Source organism: Homo sapiens, chromosome 2 (genome assembly GCF_000001405.40).
Source record: "Homo sapiens chromosome 2, GRCh38.p14 Primary Assembly".
Lineage (NCBI taxonomy): Eukaryota > Metazoa > Chordata > Mammalia > Primates > Hominidae > Homo > Homo sapiens.
In genome coordinates this window covers 25,285,208-25,304,578 of record NC_000002.12, presented here as the reverse complement: position 1 = coordinate 25,304,578, position 19,371 = coordinate 25,285,208, and the positions used below count along the sequence as shown (strand labels likewise).

Here is a 19,371-nt window from a genome sequence, read left to right as displayed (position 1 = left end):
CTCCTAGAGCCCCAGTATTGCCACATATCTTGCGGCAAGAGCGCCCGCCAGATGTTGGGCTCTGTGTGATAGTGAGGGATCGCTGCATATGGTGGGCGGCGTGCTGGGATTTGCACGAGGCAGGGAGAGGGGGATGGGGAGGATGGAGTGGGAGTGAAGTACGAATCAGGATGTGTGGAGCGGGGGAAGGTAGCAGTTCTCGAGTGACTATCACGTGTCAGCTTTTGCTACATCACCTCATTTAATTCTTATAACATCACTGTGAAGTAGATATCATCCCATTTTATAGATGAGGAAAGCAAGACTCAGGGAGGTTAAAGAGCTTGAGGTTACTCCTAAGCAAAGAGCAGAGCGAAACTCCCAGCCCGGCTCTGCCCTCTCCAAAGCCTACGTGTCTGGAATTTCCACCCCCTCCCCTCTGCGCTGGAAGTGTGGACGAATTCAGTCCCCTGGCTTGACAGATGAGGAAACCAACCTGGGCTCAAATCTGTTCCCGCGAACTGTGTTACTGTTCTTCAGCTGTCCCATGTCACCACGGATCAGATTCTTTTCTTTCAGAGTATTAGCAACGCCTCCTAATTCAGGGCTACTTGCAGATTTGATAAGCATGTTTTACATTCCTTTGCTCAACCCATCAGCAAAGATATGGAATAAAACAGACCCCGTGACAGATGCGAGAATGAACCACTTGCTACGCTTCCTTGGAGCCATTGAGGGGCACGGCCCAAGCCATCTGCTCACCCTTCTTGGCGTGTTAGCCCCCTCCCTCCGCAGAGGGAACCTCAGGCAGGCCCAGAGCAGAAGCATCGCTTCCCGCTTTGCCCTAAGACTCCATCGCGGAAGAGTTGGCAGAAGAGAACATGCTTTTCACAACGCTGCTCTTAGGGCCAAATGTCAAGGGGAAGGGCCAGGAGTTGTTCAGACCTGGCTCTCGTGGAGACTCCAAGCACGACCCAGAAGCATGCGGGGCCTGAATGCTGGGCCAGCCGTAAAGCTCCTTGCACCAGGTGTGGGGTACACACAGCACCCCTGCCTGGCACTCCCCGCCCTCTCTGGACCTGTCAGGACCTGGAGAGGTGGCCTGGCACCGGGGGGTCCACCCCTTCCTCCTGGGCTGGGTTGCACGGAATTGAATCCAACAGGGAAAAAAATGTGCCGAGCACCTACAGGCCCTGCACACGTGGTGTAGGTGAGAGATGCCAGCAGGACTGCATATGGCAGAGGGGTGGCCTGTCGGGGCCCCCAAAGGCTTTCTCCGCATGCCCAGTGGAAGCTGGTGCCCATCGTGAAATGTCAAGCGTCTTTATTTTTAGGTCATTGCTGTGTGGTAACTGTGGTTCCCTTTCACTGATCAGACGCTCTGGTTGGCTTTCACATCTCTGATTAGTTCAGAATAAAAGAAAGTCAAATGACTCCCTCTGTCACAAATGCAGCTTGTTAAAGAAATAGTTTAAAGCCCAGAATTTATGGGCAGTAGGAGTTTTTCCAGAATCTGCCCTAGGCGCTGGGGATTCAGCAGTAAACAAAACAGACAAAGGGGCAGACCCTTTGTGAAGCTGTCTTCTCAAAACCTGAGAAGCAGACAGGATGGACACCTCCCTACCCCCATTTTATGGATGAGGAAACTGAGGCTCCGAGAGGCTGCTCCTGTAACTAGGAAATGGACAAGCTGGGCTCATGCCCACTTTGCTTTTTCCATGACCTCACATGACCCCTAATGATTTTACAAGTGCTGATCAAGACGGTGCCCATTTGGCACTGGTTGAATCGGATTAGAAGCCCCACCTCAGCCTGAAATTCTTAGCAGTTGTGTAGATCCAATCAGAACCTTCACAAATACTAAGCTGCACTGGCAATACGTCCTCTCTGTGTGATCCTTTCTTACACTCGGGGGTCTGGGGTCTTCAGAAGATGGTTCAGAAGCAGCAGGCCTCCCCTCCCATGGGGCGTGTGCCCTTGGGCACCCTGAGCCCTCATGAAGGCTCCCGCGAGTTTGCTCCTCCTCCCACAGCCTTTCTGCCCTCACCGCCCGTCTGCTGTGCTTTCCTGAAAAGAGCCCCTGAAGGATCTCCGGCCTCGGGGCTGGCCTCTCCCTCCACAGACGGCACGGGGCTCCCCAGTCCCCTGGCATCCTTTCCAGATGCTTCCTCTGCTGTGCTCCTTAAATTGCCCTCTTTGGTCCTTCTCCAGCCCTCACTGCCGTGTCACTCTGCACAGCTTAGTGACAGTGCTCTTGAAGGTCAGCCATTCTGACCCCTAGCCAAGCCTCCTCATCCTCAGTATCTTTCTCAGACAGCTTTGGTCTCCAGTGTTGGCAGCCCTCCCCTTCCTTGCTCCCACAACACACCAGGGTCCTCTTCTGCACCTCCGAGCATTCTCTCTCTATCTCCTGTGTGAGCTCTGCCTCTCTCCAGCTTGACTGTGGCCACCACCTATGCTAAGACCGGGCACCTCTGTTCACCCTCCATGTGCATGTCTTTGGAGGCCTCCCAGAACTTGAGCCATGATGGTCTGCCCTGCAGACATGCCTCAGCTGGAGGATGGATGGAGGGGCCAGGGATGCTCTTCCCGCTGGTCTTATGTCTACAGCTGGTCACAGTAGGTTTCCATTTGTGTGTCCCACTGTCACCTAAAAATTAATGTGGCAAACCACAAGGTATTTTGCAATCACAGAAAATGAAAGTTGAGTAGGTTGTTGAGGGCCATCTTACTCAGGTCTCCAGGAGAGCTGTGGACCCTCTTCTACCTCTGTGCTGCCAGCACTGCCCTGGGTTGGCCCCTCCTTGGGGAGGGCCCAAAAGCCATCTTTGGCTCCTGACATCGTGCAGGGTATGAAGAGCAGCCTGTGGCCCATCTGCAGGGTCAGGACGTCTTTCTCCCCACTTCCCCAGCATCATTTCTGCTGGGGATTAGTCATGCCAGAGCCCAGCTGAGTCAGAAGGGACTTGTGGGTGGTTTGTGGCCAGGCTGGAGTAGTGAGGCAGGACTTTCTAGGTTTATGTCTCTGTGCCCCAGGAGACAAGCATGTCAGGGCCCAGCCGTGCACAGGTGTTATGTGAGGGGCGGGGAGTAAAACAAACTTCTGTTCCAAACTCGGTGAATGCAAGAGATGGAGAGGAGCTGAGATTCGGTCCCTGAGATCCTCCTGCAGGCTGACAGGCATGCGCGGTGCCAGCTCCACATGGCAGGGGTGTTCACAGCTGTACAAGTCCTCCACTTTCCATAGTTGTCCATTTCGAGTATTGCCTGGACTTCAAATAGATATTGCTAAATTTAATATTTCTTTTCACTTGATTTTCTTTTTTTTTTTTTGAGACAGTCTCGCTCTGTCTCCCAGGCTAGAGTGCAGTGGCGTGATCTTGGCTCACTGCAACCTCTGCCTCCCAGGTTCAAGCAATTCTCCTGCCTCAGCTTCCCTAGTAGCTGAGACTACAGGCGCGTGCCACCATGCCCGGCTAATTTTTTGTATTTTTAGTAGAGATGGGGTTTCATCGTGTTAGCAGGATGGTCTCAATCTCCTGACCTCATGATCCACCTGCCTCAGCCTCCCAAAGTGCTAGGATCATAGGCGTGAGCCACCATGCCCAGCGATTTTATTTTCAATAAAGGTGATTCATTAAGTAGATCACAAATGTAATTGTGTATCTGTGAACAAAAGCTTTCTCATATAAATAAACTTTTAACTCAAATCCTTTATCAGAGCTTGTGTTATGATTTTATGGTTCGGAAAATGTGGTCATAAAGAGAGAGAGATGCCTTCCGGGGGGACAGCAGCGTCTGCCCTGAAGTTCCCCAAAGGATGTATTATTTATATATATATATATATATATATATATATATATATATATATATATATATATATATATTATATTATTTAGATATATAAATATATATCTAAATATATATCTAAATAATATATTATTTAGATATCTAAATAATATATTATTTAGATATCTAAATAATATATTATTTAGATATATATATGGGTGTGGGTATTTTTATAGAGATGGAGTCTCACTATGTTGCCCAGGCTGGTCTCAAACTCCTGGCCTCAAGGGATCCTCCTGCCTTGGCTTCTCAAAGTGCTGGGATTACAGGCATGAGCCACGGTGCCTGGCCAAGGATATATTTTAAGTGGGGCTCTGAGGGGTGCCTCAAGCCTCATCAGGCAGGAGGGGAGTTGGTGGGGGCATATTACACAGCCCTGGAAGTGTGGCTCGTGGGACAGGAGGAGGCTGGGGCTGGAAGGGAAGCCAGGGCCAGCCCCAGACAGGCCTGGAATGCTACACTGCTGGGATCCACCTCTGGCCTCACAGGCTGTGTCTGTGCCTGCAGGACGGAGAGGAGCAGGAGGAGCCGCGTGGCAAGGAGGAGCGCCAAGAGCCCAGCACCACGGCACGGAAGGTGGGGCGGCCTGGGAGGAAGCGCAAGCACCCCCCGGTGAGTGTCACATCCTACACACCCTCCTGTGCACACACACAACACACACGTGCCTGGCCTGTCGATGGCAGTGATGTATGTCCTGCAGGGACCTGGAGACATTTAAGACCAGGTGATGGGGTATACCCCTCCAGCTGCAGGTACCCCATTCTTCAAATCCCACCCTCACATTTCCCTGTTTTCTTATTTATTTATTTACTTTTTTACTGAGACGGAGTCTCACTCTGTTGCCCAGGCTGGAGTGCAGTGGCGTGATCTCGGCTTACTGCAACCTCCACCTCCTGGGTTCAAACAGTTCTCCCACCTCAGCCTCCCAAGTAGCTGTGATTACAGGCACGCGCCACCATTCCCGGCTAATTTTTGTATTTTTAGTAGAGGCGAGATTTCGCCATGTTGGCCAGGCTGGTGTCGAACTCCTGACCTCAAGTGATCCGCCCACTTCAGCCTCCCAAAGTGCTGGGATTACAGGCATGAGCCACCGCGCCCGGCCACATTTCCCTGTTTTCTGCATAGAGAAGTGGAGGCCCTGAGAAGCCAGGGGACTTGGCTGGTTGGTCTTGGGCCTAAGACTTGGACCAGGCCCCTGACTCCTGGCCTCCCTCTGGAAGGGAAGCAAGAGGGCCTGCCAGAATCCCAGGCTGGACTAAGATCTCCCTGGACTATCTATGAAGGCCCCTCCCTACCACACTCTCACCCAGGGTCTCAGCCCCCACCTGGAGGAAGGGAACTGAGGCCTGGGAGTCTGATCAAATGGGAAGGGGGAGATGCAGGCTGAGGAGTCTCTGTGAGGCAGCAGGAGAACCAGGGCCCTGGGGAAGGAAGTCCTGCAGGCATGTAGGCTGCAGGGCCAGCCCCAGCGCCAGGCTTCTGGGAACCAGTGCCGCTGAGGCCTGGGGGCAGCTCTGGAGAACAAGACCCCTGGGCTGTAGGAGCCTAACTGGTTTATGTCTTAAACTCAGATGTGGAGCAGTCATTATTTCCCAGCACCAGAGACAGCTGGTTCCTTTCTTTTACCCCCCTTCCAGCTGAGAATGGTAAACTTGGAGCAAGAAGGTAAGGGGGAGTCAGAGGCTCTGGATTTGTTACTCAGCCCTTCAAAGAAATGTTCTCAGCAGGCATGGAGCCCAGGACTTGCTCCCTTTGGGTAGAGAGCCGGGTTGAAGGTGACTGAAGTGAAATGGGACAGTAGAGGCGGGGGGGGTGGTGAGTTCCTGGAGGTGGGGGGTGTGGGAACCTGCTGTGTACTGAGATGCACCCCTGCCAGTTCTGCCTGAAGATTTGAGGCGGGGGGCAGGGGGGCGGAGTGAAGTCATTTTACTGGTAAGTAATTTTAAACCTTTTAATATTAAAGCAAACGTGGATATGTAATGAATGAAATTCATTCTGGAATGAAAAATTCACGTGATGTTGAAAAATAACACGGGGCTTCAGAGAGGACTTTCTGGCTGGCAGCAGACTCCAGATTCCCAGGGCCCCTGCACCCTCCTCTGCCCACAGGGCACCTTAATGGAGAAGGTGTGGGAGGAGAGCCAGGCCGGAGTCAGAGCACACTGGTGACTCCACATTTGCAGCGTGCCCTGCCTCTCTCCTGAGGCTTGGCAACGTGCAATATGCTAAGCAAACTCCCCCTGTCCCCGTCCAGTTTCTGAGGACAAGAGCCACCACCTGTAGCAAATAAAGACCCAGCAACCCTTTGACTCATCTTTGTGAGTCTCTGGAATCAGAGGGTAGCCACATCGCTGAGAGGTGGAGTGAAGCACTCGGGTGAAAAGGTACAAGGAAGTCAGGGACAGGAGTGTGGGGACATCACCTAGACAATGACAGAGAAGAGGGGCACAGCCGAGTGAGGGGAGAGGGGCCGGCAGTCCTACATCCCCTGGCCTGAAGCACGCTCCAGGGCAGAAGGAAAAACACTGTCTTTGGGGTCCAAGAGACCTGAGTTCAAATTCTGGCTCCACCACTGACCACCTGTGTAACCTTGAACTGCTGCTGCCTGAACCTCAGGTTCCCCTTCTAAAAATAGAGGAGAAAAGGATGCATTTCTCCTTGCCCCTGTGAGAACGAAATGGTGCAAGCACCAAGGAGCCTCAGCAAAGGTCGGGCCTGCCCCCGCCTGGCCAAACCTTTCCTCTTCAGGAGGCCACGGCAACCGTAGTTTGACAGAAGAGCAGCACCTTGATTTAATGCTTCCCAGCATGTGTCCTTGAGCAAGTCACCTAACCTCTCTGGGCTGCTTCCTCATTGGGAAAATATGGCTGCCAGTAAAACCTGCCCTGTCCACCTCCTGGGGCACTTGGCAAACAGCAAAAGAGTCCAAATGTGCAGGCTGGGCCAGGCGCAGTGGCTCATGCCTGTAATCCCAGCAATTTAGGAAGCCAAGGTGGGCGGATCACCTGAGGTCAGGAGTTTGAGACCAGCCTGGCCAACATGGTGAAACCTTGTCTCTACAAAAATACAAAAATTAGCCGGGCATGATGGCGGGTGCCTGTAATCCCAGTTACTCGGGAGGCTGAGGCAAGAGAATCGCTTGAACCCGGAAGGGGAAGGTTGCAGTGAGCCAAGATTGTGCCACTGCACTCCAGCCTGGGCAACAGAGCGAGACTCTGTCTCAAAAAAAAAAAAAAAAAAAAACAATGCAGAGCTGGCTGTGTAAAAAACCTGTTCCACTGCAGGGCCCAGTGTCCACCAGGCTGGGGTGCAGGCCTATGGGGTGGGGGCCCAGCATCAGCCTCTCAGCAGCCCTGGGAGGCGGGGCGCATCCCGTGCCCCTCGTGGTCTGGATGTGTTCTAGCCCAAGTCCTAGGTTACACCTGCCGTCGCCTGGCCTCTCAGGAGAGGCCCAGGGTGAGGAGGAGCATGGTAAAGGTGAAGCTGATTGGGAAGTCAGCTGTTGGGAAAGCAACTCCTTGCACATTGGAGGAACCGAGAAAGACTGACCCCGAGGACAGCAGCCAGCATGGCCCTTCCTGGGAGCCCATGTTGGGGGATTCCTGCTGCAGCCAAGGCTCAGCCCTTGTGGTCGCAGGTGCTGGTCCTGGCCTCTTCCCCTCCCATGCAGGAGCACAGGAGAGATGGCTTCTGAGGACCTGTTGCAGCTGTGGCCCTGGGAATAGATTTGCCAGGGAGCTTTAAAGCAGCTGAGTGTGTCATCCAGCTAAGCCTGGGGAAGGAGCTTGGCTCAGGTCCTGACAGGTGTGACAGGGATGGGGACTGGGAAGTAAGAGATGAAACCCTGGCTGGAGGCTGTGAGCTTCCACAGCCAGCGCTGGACAGGGAGGGTCCAGATATACCCACTAGTGCCCTCACCAGGTCCCACCCCCAAGCCCAAGAAATCCTGGGCTCTCTCCTCCTTTTGCCCCCAAGGACTGTCTGTCTTGGCCTTCAACAGGCATCTGTCCCTGGGTGCCTTCTGCCCCCTGGCATTGCCCTCACCCAAACCAGACTCCACCTGCCCCTTGCATGCCCAGGCCAGTGTGCTCCCTTCACGACAAACACTTTCCACTTCCTGAGCACTGACCATGTGCGGGAAGCCACCAGAGGAAGATGCCTTCTATTTCAGTCAAGTGTGCTGGAGAGAGGAGGCCACACATAATCACAGTAAATGTAGCACCGGCACGTCCTTCTTCAGGAACCCCCCGGGACTCCATTTTTTAGGGGACAAGATCTGAATTCCAGCCCCTCACCATCTGACCACTCCTTTCCCTGCTATGCCTGATGCCACCCCTTTGGCCACAGAAACCTCACCTTCTCACTGCTCCCCAAACACACTAGCCAGCCATTCCTCCTGCCCGCCCCTTACACAGTTCCACAGCCTGCCTTCTCTCCGCCTGCCCCAGCACCACAGCCCGGTAGAACCTAGCCTGAAAATGAAGCCCAGTTCAGCCACTGTGACCCACACTGGCCTTTCCCTTCTCCAACTGTCTCCAAAGTTAATAAAAATGAACTGATAAAGACAAGTTCCAAGCCCACCGATCACACACATGGGACTGCAGTGGTCTGCAGACCTCACTTTGAGAAGCATTTGTTGTCACCTGTCGGTACAGAACTGAGTATAACTATTCAGAAGCTTTTATGTGTGTGTGACAATGTTGCCACATCCACGTGCTGTGATTTTATATTTTACAACCGTATCATTTCTTGGTGCACTGAGAATTTAAAAATCTGGAACCAAAGCTTGAGCTTTCATCCCTGACAGTTTGAAAATGCACCGCCATTGCATAGTCGCTGAGCTGTGCCACACTGAGTTTGCCTGCCTCACTGAGGACAGAGACCAGCAGTAAAGGCTCATGGTTATGCAGCATGTTACTGCCTACAAAGGCGTTTTACAGGGGTTACCTTATTTGATGCTGACAAACCTGCGTGAGGTAGTTGGGGACCGCTTTCATTATCCCCACATTCAGAAGAAGAGACTGAGGTTCAGAGAAGATGATCAGGACTTGGACTTCACACCTCCCAACTGCAAAGCCTATGGTGCTCTTTCCTCCTTATCACTGCATCCGTGCAGTTTGGCTACTGGGTACCTACCCAGGGGTTCTCTGTCAGTTAATATGTGAATTCAGGGCTGCTGGAAAAAGTGTGTGGAACTGGTCCAAAAAGCATACAAAGAAAATGGAACTGAAGAGAGTTATTGACACAAATACCAGGGAGCCTGTGTGTAAGTGCCGAAGGCTGCAGGGGGCTGAGGGCAAAGAGGTGCGCCTGCTTAAAATCGGCAACGGCCTAGTTGTCTGCAGCACTGGCCAGAGAGCCAGGATGCTGCAGTCAGAGCCGGCAACAGGAAACAGGAAGTCAGCTGCAGGGCAGGGCGGGGCTTAGGAAGGGAGCTGGCACCTGGGCCAGGGCCTGCGGGCTGGCCAGTGCCCATGATAGGGAGGCGGGGGCTGGTGCGTGGAGCTGAGCCCGTGTGTGGGTGTGAGGTGGGGAGGAAGGGGCAGCCTCTAAGGATGTTGCAGGGTGACAAGTGTGGGTGTCTGAGGCTGGTTCCTGCCTGGTTGCCAGCCCAGACAGTCCTGCAGAGGCCTTTGTCCTTCATGGGTGGTTCCGGTTGGAGCCCTGAAGGGAGAGTTTCTGCCTTTGCCCACAAGGCCCTGGGGGGTGAGTGGCCCTGTGGGGCTCCATCCCCTATTTACTAGCGATGCGTATTTATTCATTGACGATTTATACCCACCAACTTCCTCCAGGGTTATTTTTGCTCAGAGGGAGCACTCTGAGGTCACCTCCTGCTAAGAATAACCCAGAATGGGAGGGAGGAGGAGGAGGGGGCTGGGCGCTGGTGCTGAGCTCAGCTGAGCCCAAGCTGGTGTTAGGGCTGACCCTCCAACACCGCAGGAGTGAGCCAGTCCAAGAGGGCAAACTGCCCCACTTCAGAGCAGATGACTTGGGGTAACCTAAATGGGGAAGTCAGGGAACCATTCTGCTGCAGGCAAAAGTCAGCTAGGTACAGCTTATGGCAGCTCTTGGAGGTTTGCAGCACTGGCTAGCTTTCCAGCCTGATAGGACCTTTGATTCTTCTCCAAGTTAAGACAGAGCTCAGCAGCCCTGCTTGTTTTCAGATCAGAGCCGCTCCTGGGCTAACCCTCCGGACCTCGGCTGGGTGATATGGTGCCCCTACCTTTTATGCATATAACTTCCTGACATCGTGTCTCCCACTCCTGGGCTGCAGCCCTTGGCCCACCCCTAGAGGTGGCTTTTCTTCCTGCGAGCCTGCATCAGTACACGCTGCTGCCCACTCTGTCTCCTCATGTTTTGGAAGGCATGAGGAAGACAGGCCGACACACTGCTTGTGAGGTAGAGCCTATGGTTATGAACCTTGCAGCTCCACCCACCCACTCCCCGACCTGAGCGGTGAAATCAACGCCCGCTACTGGAGTGCTGCATGGAAGGGCCTAGCCCATGGTGGGGACTTAAGTGCAGTGGGACTCCTAAGGATGCCGGGGAAGCCAGGGAAGATGGAGGAGGTGGGGCTTGACCTGGGCCTTAGAAGGGAGGTGACATTTGGAGAAGTCAAGGGGAAAGTGAGAGGCACCCCCGACCCCAGCTGAGCTGGGTGTGGAGGAAGGAAGGCATGCAGGGCAGGGTGAGTGTGGGGAGGCCCAAAGGCAGGGGCCATGAGCACACAGGCACAGGCCTGGCTGAGGGGACTAGGGATTCATTGAAAAATGTATACGGGGCTGGGTGCAATGGCTCACACCTGTAATCCCACCACTTTGAGAGGCTGAGGCAGGTGGATCACTTGAGGCCAGGAATTCGAGACCAGCCTGGCCAACATGGCAAAACCCCATCTCTACTAAAAATAGAAAAAAGCCGAATGTGGTGGCACATACCTGTGGTCCCAGCTGCCCAGGAGGCTGAGGCACGAGAATCGCTTGAACCTGGGCAGGCAGAGGTTGCAGTGAGCCGAGATTGTGCCACTGCACTCCAGCCTGGGCTACAGAGGGAGACTCTGTCTCAAAAAAATAAATTTTTATATATATATATAATAAATAGTAGCTGGGTATGGTGGTACACCTGTGGTCGCAGCTACTTGGGAGGCTAAGGCAGGAGGATCTCTTGACCCCGGGAGGTTGAGGCTGCAGTGAGCCATAATTGTGTCACTGCACTCCAGCTGGGTGACAGAGCAAAACCCTGTCTCAAAGAAAGAAGAAAAATCTTCTCAATCTTGATTGGAAAGGTAGTTTGCAGGCAGCCTGAGGGGCTTTTACTCTTTATCCTCTCTGAAAAATGTGTTATCTGGAAGGTTGTGAGGAGGCGGATATGACGTGATGGGAGTCGTGTTTGAGAAATTGGCTCTGGCACCCATGAGCATGGCGTTCATCCCTGAGCATGAGCACATGCTGGGAGAGGGGAGGGGGCAGGGGCGCCAGCAAAGTCCCAGGGCCTGTGGGGGGTGGCAGTGGCGGGGCAGAATTGGCCAAGCCTATGCTGCTGGCCCTGGGAACGCTGGAGAGGAAGGGGTGAAAGGAAGCCCTAGCAATGGCACAACAGGGACAGCATCAGCGTTGTTGTCAGAGACAAGGCTTCTGGAAGGGAGCAGATGGGGAAGGGGCCCCTGTCAAGGCCACCTTACATAGCTGGTCTTACTTGGGGAGCATTTAAGTAGAATCTCAGAATCTCCTTTTTTTTTTTTTCCAAAAATAATCCCTCTGTTTATTTTCATCTCTCCACATCCCAGGGCCACCTTCAGCGAGTCATTCATTCCCACAGGTCCTGGCCTTGGTGGCCTTCCTGGGGCCCCATGAGCTTTTCTAGGGCCCGGGCTCCACCTGCATTGTTCCTCCTGTTGCAGGTACGCGCCGGCACACCCATTGGAGGAGAGCTGTTGACATGGGCTTTCTTTCATCATCCCCACCTAGAGAATTTTGTACATTTTGGTTCTCCTACCTCAAGAAAGACATAAGCGAGTTGGAAAAGCTCCAGAGAAGGGCACTAAATTGATCAAGGGGAAGGCAAGGCTGCCAAGAGAGGACAGGCTAAAGAGATTAGGACTCCCCAGTCTGCAGAGACAAAGGCAGAGGATGTGATTAAGGCTATGAAATCATGTCGGGTGCGGCGGGCTGAGCACAGCACAGCTGGGGGGCAGAGGGAGGACACCCATTAGAAATTTCAGAAAGATAAATGAAGCACAGAAAAGATAGCACCATTTTCCATGGTGGGTTCCCTTCTTACCAAACCTGTCACCCTAGGATTGGCAGAAATTGAAAACAGAAGCAACTTCAAAAGAGATTTACTTAACGTATGGGATCTCTCATACGTAATGGCTTTTTTTGTTTTTGTTTTTGTTTTTGTTTTTGAGACAGATTCTCACTCTGTTGCCCAGGCCGGAGTGCAGTGGTGCGATCTCGGCTCACTGCAACCTTTGCCTCCCGGGTTCAAACAATTCTCCTGTCTCAGTTTTCTGAGTAGCTGGGATTACAGGCGTGCACCACCATGCCTGGCTAATTTTTTTTTTTAAGGGTCGAAGGGATTTATTGAAAATGAAAGTACACTACACAATGTGAGAGCAGGCCTGAGCATAGGGGGCTCAAAGGCCATTTTTTTTGTATTTTTAGTAGAGATGGGGTTTCACCATGTTGGCCAGGCTGGTCTCGAACTCCCAACCTCAGATGATCCGCCCGCCTCGGCCTCCCAAAGTGCTGGGATTACAGGCGTGAGCCACTGAACCCAGCCAGCATAATGGCTTTTTAAAGGGAGCCTCCAGCTCACTCTGAAATCCTTTGAGGTTGACTTCAAAGAGCACAACCAGGCCCTTTTCCAGGTGGACCAGTGTCCCCGCTGGAAACAGAACCCTGAGTGGGCCGGCCACTCACCACGCATGGTCATTCTGGCATCCATTTGCCATGGCTTGTGACGGCCTAGCCAGGCCATGGACTGAGTGACCTCTAAGGCTTTGCAGAGCCCAGAGTTCTCTCCTCAGACACACGGGTGGAGAGATCTCTGGGGAGAAGGGAGACAGGCAGCTCCCAGCAGATGTGGTAAGGGGAATGGTAGGACCTGGAGGGGGTGCCCAGGCTGGGACCAGAGTTTCCAGAGTCGGCCCTCTGTGGCCTCTGGTCCCGCCATCCCTGACCCCACTGGCTGCGCTTTTAGCCACCCCACAGGGAAAAGGGAAATTGGAGGAGTCAGGGTCCTAGCTCCATAGCGTTGGAGCTTGCTCCATCCACCCCAGGAAGGCCGAGCAAGGGGGCATCTGGGGACCCCCTGGCCCCTCCTGGAGTGGGCATGGAGCAGGCATCTCTGGCTCTCCCTACCACAGGCCACTTCCAGCTGCTATCAGATCTCTGGTGAGGGCCGCCAGGGGAAAGGGGGCTGCCGGAAGGGCGGGGGCGGGCAGTCATGGCCCCGTGCCAATGCTTCGGGGGCAGAGCTGCCCTGCTTACGTGGACATGCAGCTGTTTCCTGAAACTAGAGTCAACCTGGAAAAATTCAGGCTGGTTGAGGGGTGATGGGCCTGCAGAGCTGAGGAACTGGAAGGAGCGAGGAGTTGCGGTGGGAGTGGAGGGGCTCACTGGCGTGTTTGTGTTGGCATCACGCAGCTTCCTTGCACCCCTCTGTCCTGTGGCTGGCAGTGGGTGTCTGCAGGCGTGGGGGTGCCTCCTTCTCAAGTCTGTGCACGTGACGGTGAAGAGTCCGTGGCTGGCCTGATGCCAGGGTTCCCGGTTGGCATGGAATGGATCTCACAGAGGCATTAAAAGCACCATGGCAGGCCCGGCCCTCTGGGTGACCAAGGTGAGGTCGCCCCTGCATCTGCTGGGCTTTGGGGGAGAAGGCAAGAGGAGCTCCCAGTGGGAAAGGAAGAGGCAGGGGAGGAGGGAGAATGGCATCTACCCACCCCCCACCCCCACAGGATCCCCCTTCCCCGGTGATCGCTGCAGGTGGGCTGCAGCCTGGGGACAGGGCTTCTTGCCCCAGGTGCCAGGGCCTCATCTCCCCTGTGCCATGACCTTCACCTCTCCTCCTCCTGGATTTTAGTTTTTCTGTGTAAATAACTATAGTAAAGCAACACTTAAAAACCACTTCTGGCCGGGCGTGGTGGCTCACGCCTGTAATCTCAGTACTTTGGGAGGCCGAGGTGGGTGGATTACCTGAGGTTGGGAGTTCGAGACCAGCATGGCCAACATGGCGAAACCCCATCTCTACTAAAAATACAAAAATTAGCTGGATGTGGTGGCACACGCCTGTAATCCCAGCTACTGGTTGGGACTGAGGCAGGAGAATCGCTTGAACCCGGGAGGCAGACGTTGTAATGAGACGAGATCACACCATTGCACTCCAGCCTGGAGAACAGAGTGAGACTGCGTCTCAAAAAAAAAAAAAAAAAATCACTTCCATAAAATTAGCTGGATGTGGTGGCACATGCCAGTGGTCCCAGCTCCTTGGGAGGCTGAGATAGGAAAATCGTTGAATTTGAGGCTGCAGGGAGCTATGGTCACACCCCTGCACTCCAGCCTGGGCAGCAGAGTGAGACCTTGTCTCAAAAAAAAAATTTTTTTTAATTACTTCCATAAAAATAAAAAGTTAGGTGTGGTGGCAGGCACCTGTAGTCCCTGGTAAAACTGAGGCGGGAAGATTGCTTGAGCCCAGGAATTCAGGGCCACAGTGAGCCGTGATCGTGCCACCGCACTCCAACCTGAGTGACAAAGGGATATCCTGTCTCTTAAAAAAAAGAAAGAAAAAATCACCTCCCCATATTGGGAGTTTCAGACATTGCCCCACCCTGGGACGCAAGGCTTTGCCTGGAGTGAAGGAGGGGCAGGAGGTCTGGGTCTGGCCCAGACTTTGGGCAAAGGGGGAAGAGGAGGCGGCGGCAGGGCTGGGGAATTGGTTCCGGCTGGGCAGGCCACAGCAGAGGGCTCCTCCTTGCCTTGCCTCTGTCTTTTGCTTGAATTGAGCGCTGCTCAGGGGAGGGCCAGCAGCCTCTGCCCGGCCTTTCTTGGGCACTGCACTGCCACCTCTGCCTTCTCCAAACCCTGGGGGCATTTGTGAGCTTGCGCTTTTCTGAGACTCAACCCAGAGCGGGAGTCGGCCTTCAAATGCCTCGCCTGTACCTGAGCCATCCTGGAAGCTTTACTGATCAGAGGCGTGTGACCCAAGGCAGGCCTCAGAAAAGCGAGTATCGCTCCAGCTCCCCTAGGATCCCTGTGAAAATTACATTTATTAATTTTATAAGCATATGTATGCCCAGTCCTGTGTGGGATGCTAGAGAGCCATAGGTGGAGAGGCCTACAAAGTTAAATAAGATTGGCCGGGTGCGGTGGCTCACGCCTGTAATCCCAGCACTTTGGGAGGCTGAGGCGGATGGATCACCTGGGATCAGGAGTTTGAGACCAGCCTGGCCAACATGGAGAAACCCCATCTCTAAAAATACAAAAATTAGCCAGGTGTGGTGGCAGGCACCTGTAATCCCAGCTACTTGGGAGGCTGAGGCAGGAGAGTCGCTTGAATCCGGGAGGTGGAGGTTGCAGTGAGCCGAGATCGCGCCACTGCACTCGCCTGGGCAACAGAGCGAGACTCGGTCTCAAAAAAAAAAAAAAAAGTTAAATAAGGCAAGGCTCACAGTCGAGGAGGGAGGCCACAGTAAACAGATAATTAGATTCAGAGGTATGAATTGTAAGGAGATTGGGTGAGAAAGGGCTTTGTAAACAAACGTGGCATGCATTGGCTGGGACAGGAGTGACAGCTGCGGTGGGTTCACCCCCACCCTTCAGGGCAAGGCTGGGCCAGCAGCTGTCCACACCTGCCAACTACAGGGGGCTGAGGGGTCCAGATCCTTCCATTTAAAGGAGCATTCCTTTAAAATGCTCCTTAGAAGACAGAAAGTAGAAGAGTGGTGACTGGGGGAGAGGCAACTGGGAAGTTAGTGTTGAATGGAGACAGTTTCCGTTTGGGATCGTGGAAAAGTTCTGGAGATGGATGGGGGTAAAGGTTGTATAACCATGAGAGTGTACTTAAAGTATGCTTGAAAATGGTTAAAATGGTAAATGTTATGTATGTTTTACCCCAGGTTTTTAGAAGTTTAAAAAAGTGTTTCTAGGCCGGGCACAGTGGCTTACGCCTGTAATCCCAGCACTTTGGGAGGCTGAGGTGGGTGGATCATGAAGTCAGAAGTTCAAGACCAGCCTGGCCAAGATGGTGAAATCCCATCTCTACTAAAAATACAAAAGTTAGCCAGGCATGGTGGCAGTCAGCTGAGATAACACCACTGCACTCCAGCCTGGACAACAGAGCGAGACTCCGTCTCAAAAAAAAAAGTGAGCGATCTTGGCTCACTGCAAGCTCTGCCTCCTAGGTTCACACCATTCTCCTGCTGCCTCCCCAGCAGCTGGGACTACAGGCGCCTGCTACCACGCCTGGCGAATTTTTTGTATTTTTAGTAGATTCGGGGTTTCACCATGTTAGCCAGGATGGTCTCAATCTGCTGACCTCATGATCCACCCGCCTCAGCCGCCCAAAGTGCTGGGATTACAGGCGTAAGCCACCATGCCTGGCCAAAAAAAGTGTTTCTTAAGCCAGGCATGGTGGCTCATGCCTGTAATCTCAGCACTTTGGGAGGCTGAGGTGGGTGGATCACCTGAGGTCAGGAGTTTGAATCCAGCCTGGACAACATGGTGAAACCCCATCTTTACCAAAAATACAAAAAGTTAGCCAAGTGTAATAGCAGACACCTGTAATCCCAGCTACTTGGGAGGCTGAGGCAGGAGAATCGCTTGAACCCAGGAGGTGGAGGTTGTAGTGAGCCGAGATTGCACCACTGTGCTCCAGACTGGGCAACAAGAGCGAAACTCCATCTCAAAAAAAAAAAAGTGTTCCTTTGATAAAGACAGTCCCTGTCCTTGCCCCTACCCTCAGCCCAGGGTTTTTCAAAGACATTATTGCCATTTTGTCTGGACTAAATCTCTGTTGGGGGCGGGGGTGTCCTCTGTCTGGTGGGGTGTTTAGCAGCTTCCCTAGCCTCTACTCACTAGATGCCAGCACCTCACCCTAACCTTGTGGCAGCCAAAAATGTCTTCACACACATGCCAAAATGTCCTGGTGGGGAGTTAGCAAAATCGCCCCAGTTGAGAACTACGGCCTTAACCTGCCTCAAAAAGCTGCTCACAGGAGAGGACTGAGGAAAAGCCGGAGGCAAGGTGGGGGTTCTGCCCAGAAGGAAAGCGAAGATTGGCAAACTCGGAGGGACCCCAGGAAGTGGTGGGCAGGATTTGAAGACCCAAAGTGTGGTATACCGGGTGGGGGTAGGTGGACAGTGGGTGATAGGACCAAGCTGTACTGAAATCTAGAATGATACTAGATTCACAACCCTCCTGTGGCCCCCATCTGGCCCCCCACGGGAGGAGAAGTGATGGGTAGTTACTGCGGCTTTTCCCATTCTGAAATTGTCACCTGCAGCTGCACCTGCTGGTGGTGCCTTCTAGAATGGTCGGCACCCCCAACCCAGCCCTCTCCCAGATAATGGGCAACATGAGTATCTCGGGGGTGTGCTGTGTCTCTTTCAAGATGACTGTCAAAAGCAAACAAAAGCAGATTGTTTAACAGACATGGCAGCAAAGCTGAAACTCCCTCTAGCTTGAGTGCAGGAGGTTCTCACTTTTAGCCTCGTCTTTGCCATTCACGAATCAATTGTGAATATTGTCTGAGCACCTGTCAGGTGCCCCACTCCCTGCTAAGTCTAGCCGGATCGAGCAAAGTCTCTGCCCTCCAGATCGAGCAAAGTCTCTGCCCTCCAGAGGTCAACAAGCTGTGGAGACAGGGGAAAGGAGGGGAGGAGAGTGGCTGGGAGGAGGACATGGAGTTGGGGGCAGAAGAGGCCAGGCCTGGCTGGGGTGCCCCTCCCTCCTGGGCTTCCAGGCTGAGGTTTCTGCCCTTCTCACCAGGGATGGCTCCTTCAGTGAGCACCCAGCTCTTCCCCAGAGACTTGGACAGTTGCTTCAGGCCATTTGACTGGGACCTTTTTCCTTCCTCTGGATGGTTTTGTCCTGCTGGTCACCCTGAGCCCCAGAGAGCCCCATTGAGGGGCCACACTTAGCTTGAGGGAGTTCTTGATGGGTAGGATGAATCAAGGGTTGAGCGTGGCAGAAGTCATTGCCCTCCCCCCCAAATCCCAGAACTTTGGCTGAATCATCTCATCCAGAACCTGAGAGAGCAGGTGAGCAGGAGGGGATGGTTGGGCAGAGGATGGTGTGGACCAGATGCGGGAGTGGGGATTTCAGCGGGTGAGCTAACCCGGGGCTGGAAATGTGCAACATGCCCCGCTCGCCCATCATCTGCCCAGCATGCCCGGCTCCCACCTGGCTTTGGGGGCATCTCTGGGAGAATGGCGCATCTGGTGCTGTTGCAGACTGGGGTCCGCGGGCAAGGCCAGGGCAGGGCTTACTCTTGTGCATGAAGGACTGGGTTGGTCGGGAGCCTGGGGCTGTGTTGGGCCTCAGAGCCGGCCCTCATAGGTCTCTATGCTACGGAGCCAGCAGTCAACAGGAAGTGAGTCCCAGCATGAGAGGAGGCCATGTGGTCCCAGGCAGGAAGTGAGTGACAGTGGAGTTGCCTCCAGCAGCTTTGCGGGGCTCAGAGCCTGCCCCAATCTGAGGTGTCTGCAGGGCAGCAAATGATGAGAAGAAAGGAAGACGCAGCCATGAAAAAGTCTGGCTCTGACCTAAGCTTCTTAGCTCAAGTTAGCCAGGCAGGACCCCACGCATACCTCTATGGTAGTGCCATGTTGGGGGCTTTGGGGTACCTGGAACAGCTGGATCCCAGAAGGTGGCTGCAGTGCAGGGGTACACTCCACTTTTCAGGCTGCTGGGGCTCATGACTGAGCCTTGAAGGGTGACAGACAGGGTTTACACCAGGGAGGACCATTCTAGGCTGGAAATGCCCTCTTTGCTTAAGCAGGGAGGGAGGAGAGGTGTTCTGAGTTCTGGGGAGGGTCCTGACACACAGGATGGAGGCAGGGGTCTGCCGTTCCACTTTCCTTCCCGGATTTGGCCTTCCTGGCTCTGCTGGCATCAGCCCAAGCCCCCAAGCACAGTGGAGGACTTCTCGCTTTTACCAGTCACCTCCTCTTCCTCTCGTTGCAGCCCCCTGCCTCCAACTGCTGAGGAGTACACACATGCAGCTTTCTGTGGGTGCTTCCCTCCTGGAAGCAGGCCTGCCCAGCTGCCCCGCACAGCAGGAAAGGAGCTTGGCAGGCCCTGCAGTTCCTTCTGCTCCCTCTCCGGCTGCTCCCTGTGCCCGGGTCCCCATCCAGGGAGGAAAGCATACCTGAGAAGACTCTGGTTTTGTTTTTGTTTTTGTTTTCCCAAGGCCCTTGTCCCTAATTGCCACCTCTGGGCGTTCCTTGCCAAATAACAGTGGGTTGAGAGTTCAGGTCCTAGACCGTTAGAGCAAAAGCAGCCTTGGAAATAGGGCTTTGCAGGGGAGGGGCTGGGGACCCAGTGCTGT

The 19,371-nt window shown here is 53.7% G+C and overlaps 1 protein-coding gene across 10 annotated transcripts in view, besides 6 other annotated features; it reads left to right on the top strand.

The window, feature by feature from the left end:
• The window catches only part of DNMT3A (DNA methyltransferase 3 alpha), a 114,717-nt gene that overhangs the window by 38,012 nt on the left and 57,334 nt on the right, over positions 1-19,371 (top strand). For 9 of the 10 annotated variants that reach the window (NR_135490.2, NM_022552.5, XM_005264175.6 and 6 more), the window contains exon 3: positions 4,336-4,440. Coding sequence is in view for 9 of the 10 variants with exons in the window: in NM_022552.5 (NP_072046.2) it covers positions 4,336-4,440 (105 nt within the window). In the remaining variant the exon portion in view is untranslated. Of the gene's footprint in view, positions 1-4,335; positions 4,441-12,383; positions 13,666-19,371 lie in introns of those variants that run through there. The other variant, XM_011532662.3, reaches the window with a different exon arrangement.
• Positions 7,316-7,817: an enhancer, noted in NCBI's record as "H3K4me1 hESC enhancer chr2:25519631-25520132 (GRCh37/hg19 assembly coordinates)". NCBI's record gives its function as "activates a minimal SCP1, AML or CMV promoter by ChIP-STARR-seq in primed H9 embryonic stem cells {active_cell/tissue: H9 hESC(primed)}" and the evidence as "EXISTENCE:reporter gene assay evidence [ECO:0000049][PMID:30033119]".
• Positions 8,804-9,325: an enhancer, noted in NCBI's record as "H3K4me1 hESC enhancer chr2:25518123-25518644 (GRCh37/hg19 assembly coordinates)". NCBI's record gives its function as "activates a minimal SCP1, AML or CMV promoter by ChIP-STARR-seq in primed H9 embryonic stem cells {active_cell/tissue: H9 hESC(primed)}" and the evidence as "EXISTENCE:reporter gene assay evidence [ECO:0000049][PMID:30033119]".
• Positions 8,804-9,499: a biological region, named in NCBI's record as "Sharpr-MPRA regulatory region 14395".
• Positions 9,205-9,499: a silencer, noted in NCBI's record as "tiled region #14395; K562 Repressive non-DNase unmatched - State 7:EnhWF". NCBI's record gives its function as "represses a minimal TATA promoter and a strong SV40 promoter by Sharpr-MPRA in K562 cells {active_cell/tissue: K562}" and the evidence as "EXISTENCE:reporter gene assay evidence [ECO:0000049][PMID:27701403]".
• Positions 9,782-9,901: an enhancer, noted in NCBI's record as "active region_15446". NCBI's record gives its function as "activates an Ori minimal core promoter by ATAC-STARR-seq in GM12878 lymphoblastoid cells {active_cell/tissue: GM12878}" and the evidence as "EXISTENCE:reporter gene assay evidence [ECO:0000049][PMID:35858748]".
• Positions 17,703-17,752: a silencer, noted in NCBI's record as "silent region_11252". NCBI's record gives its function as "represses an Ori minimal core promoter by ATAC-STARR-seq in GM12878 lymphoblastoid cells {active_cell/tissue: GM12878}" and the evidence as "EXISTENCE:reporter gene assay evidence [ECO:0000049][PMID:35858748]".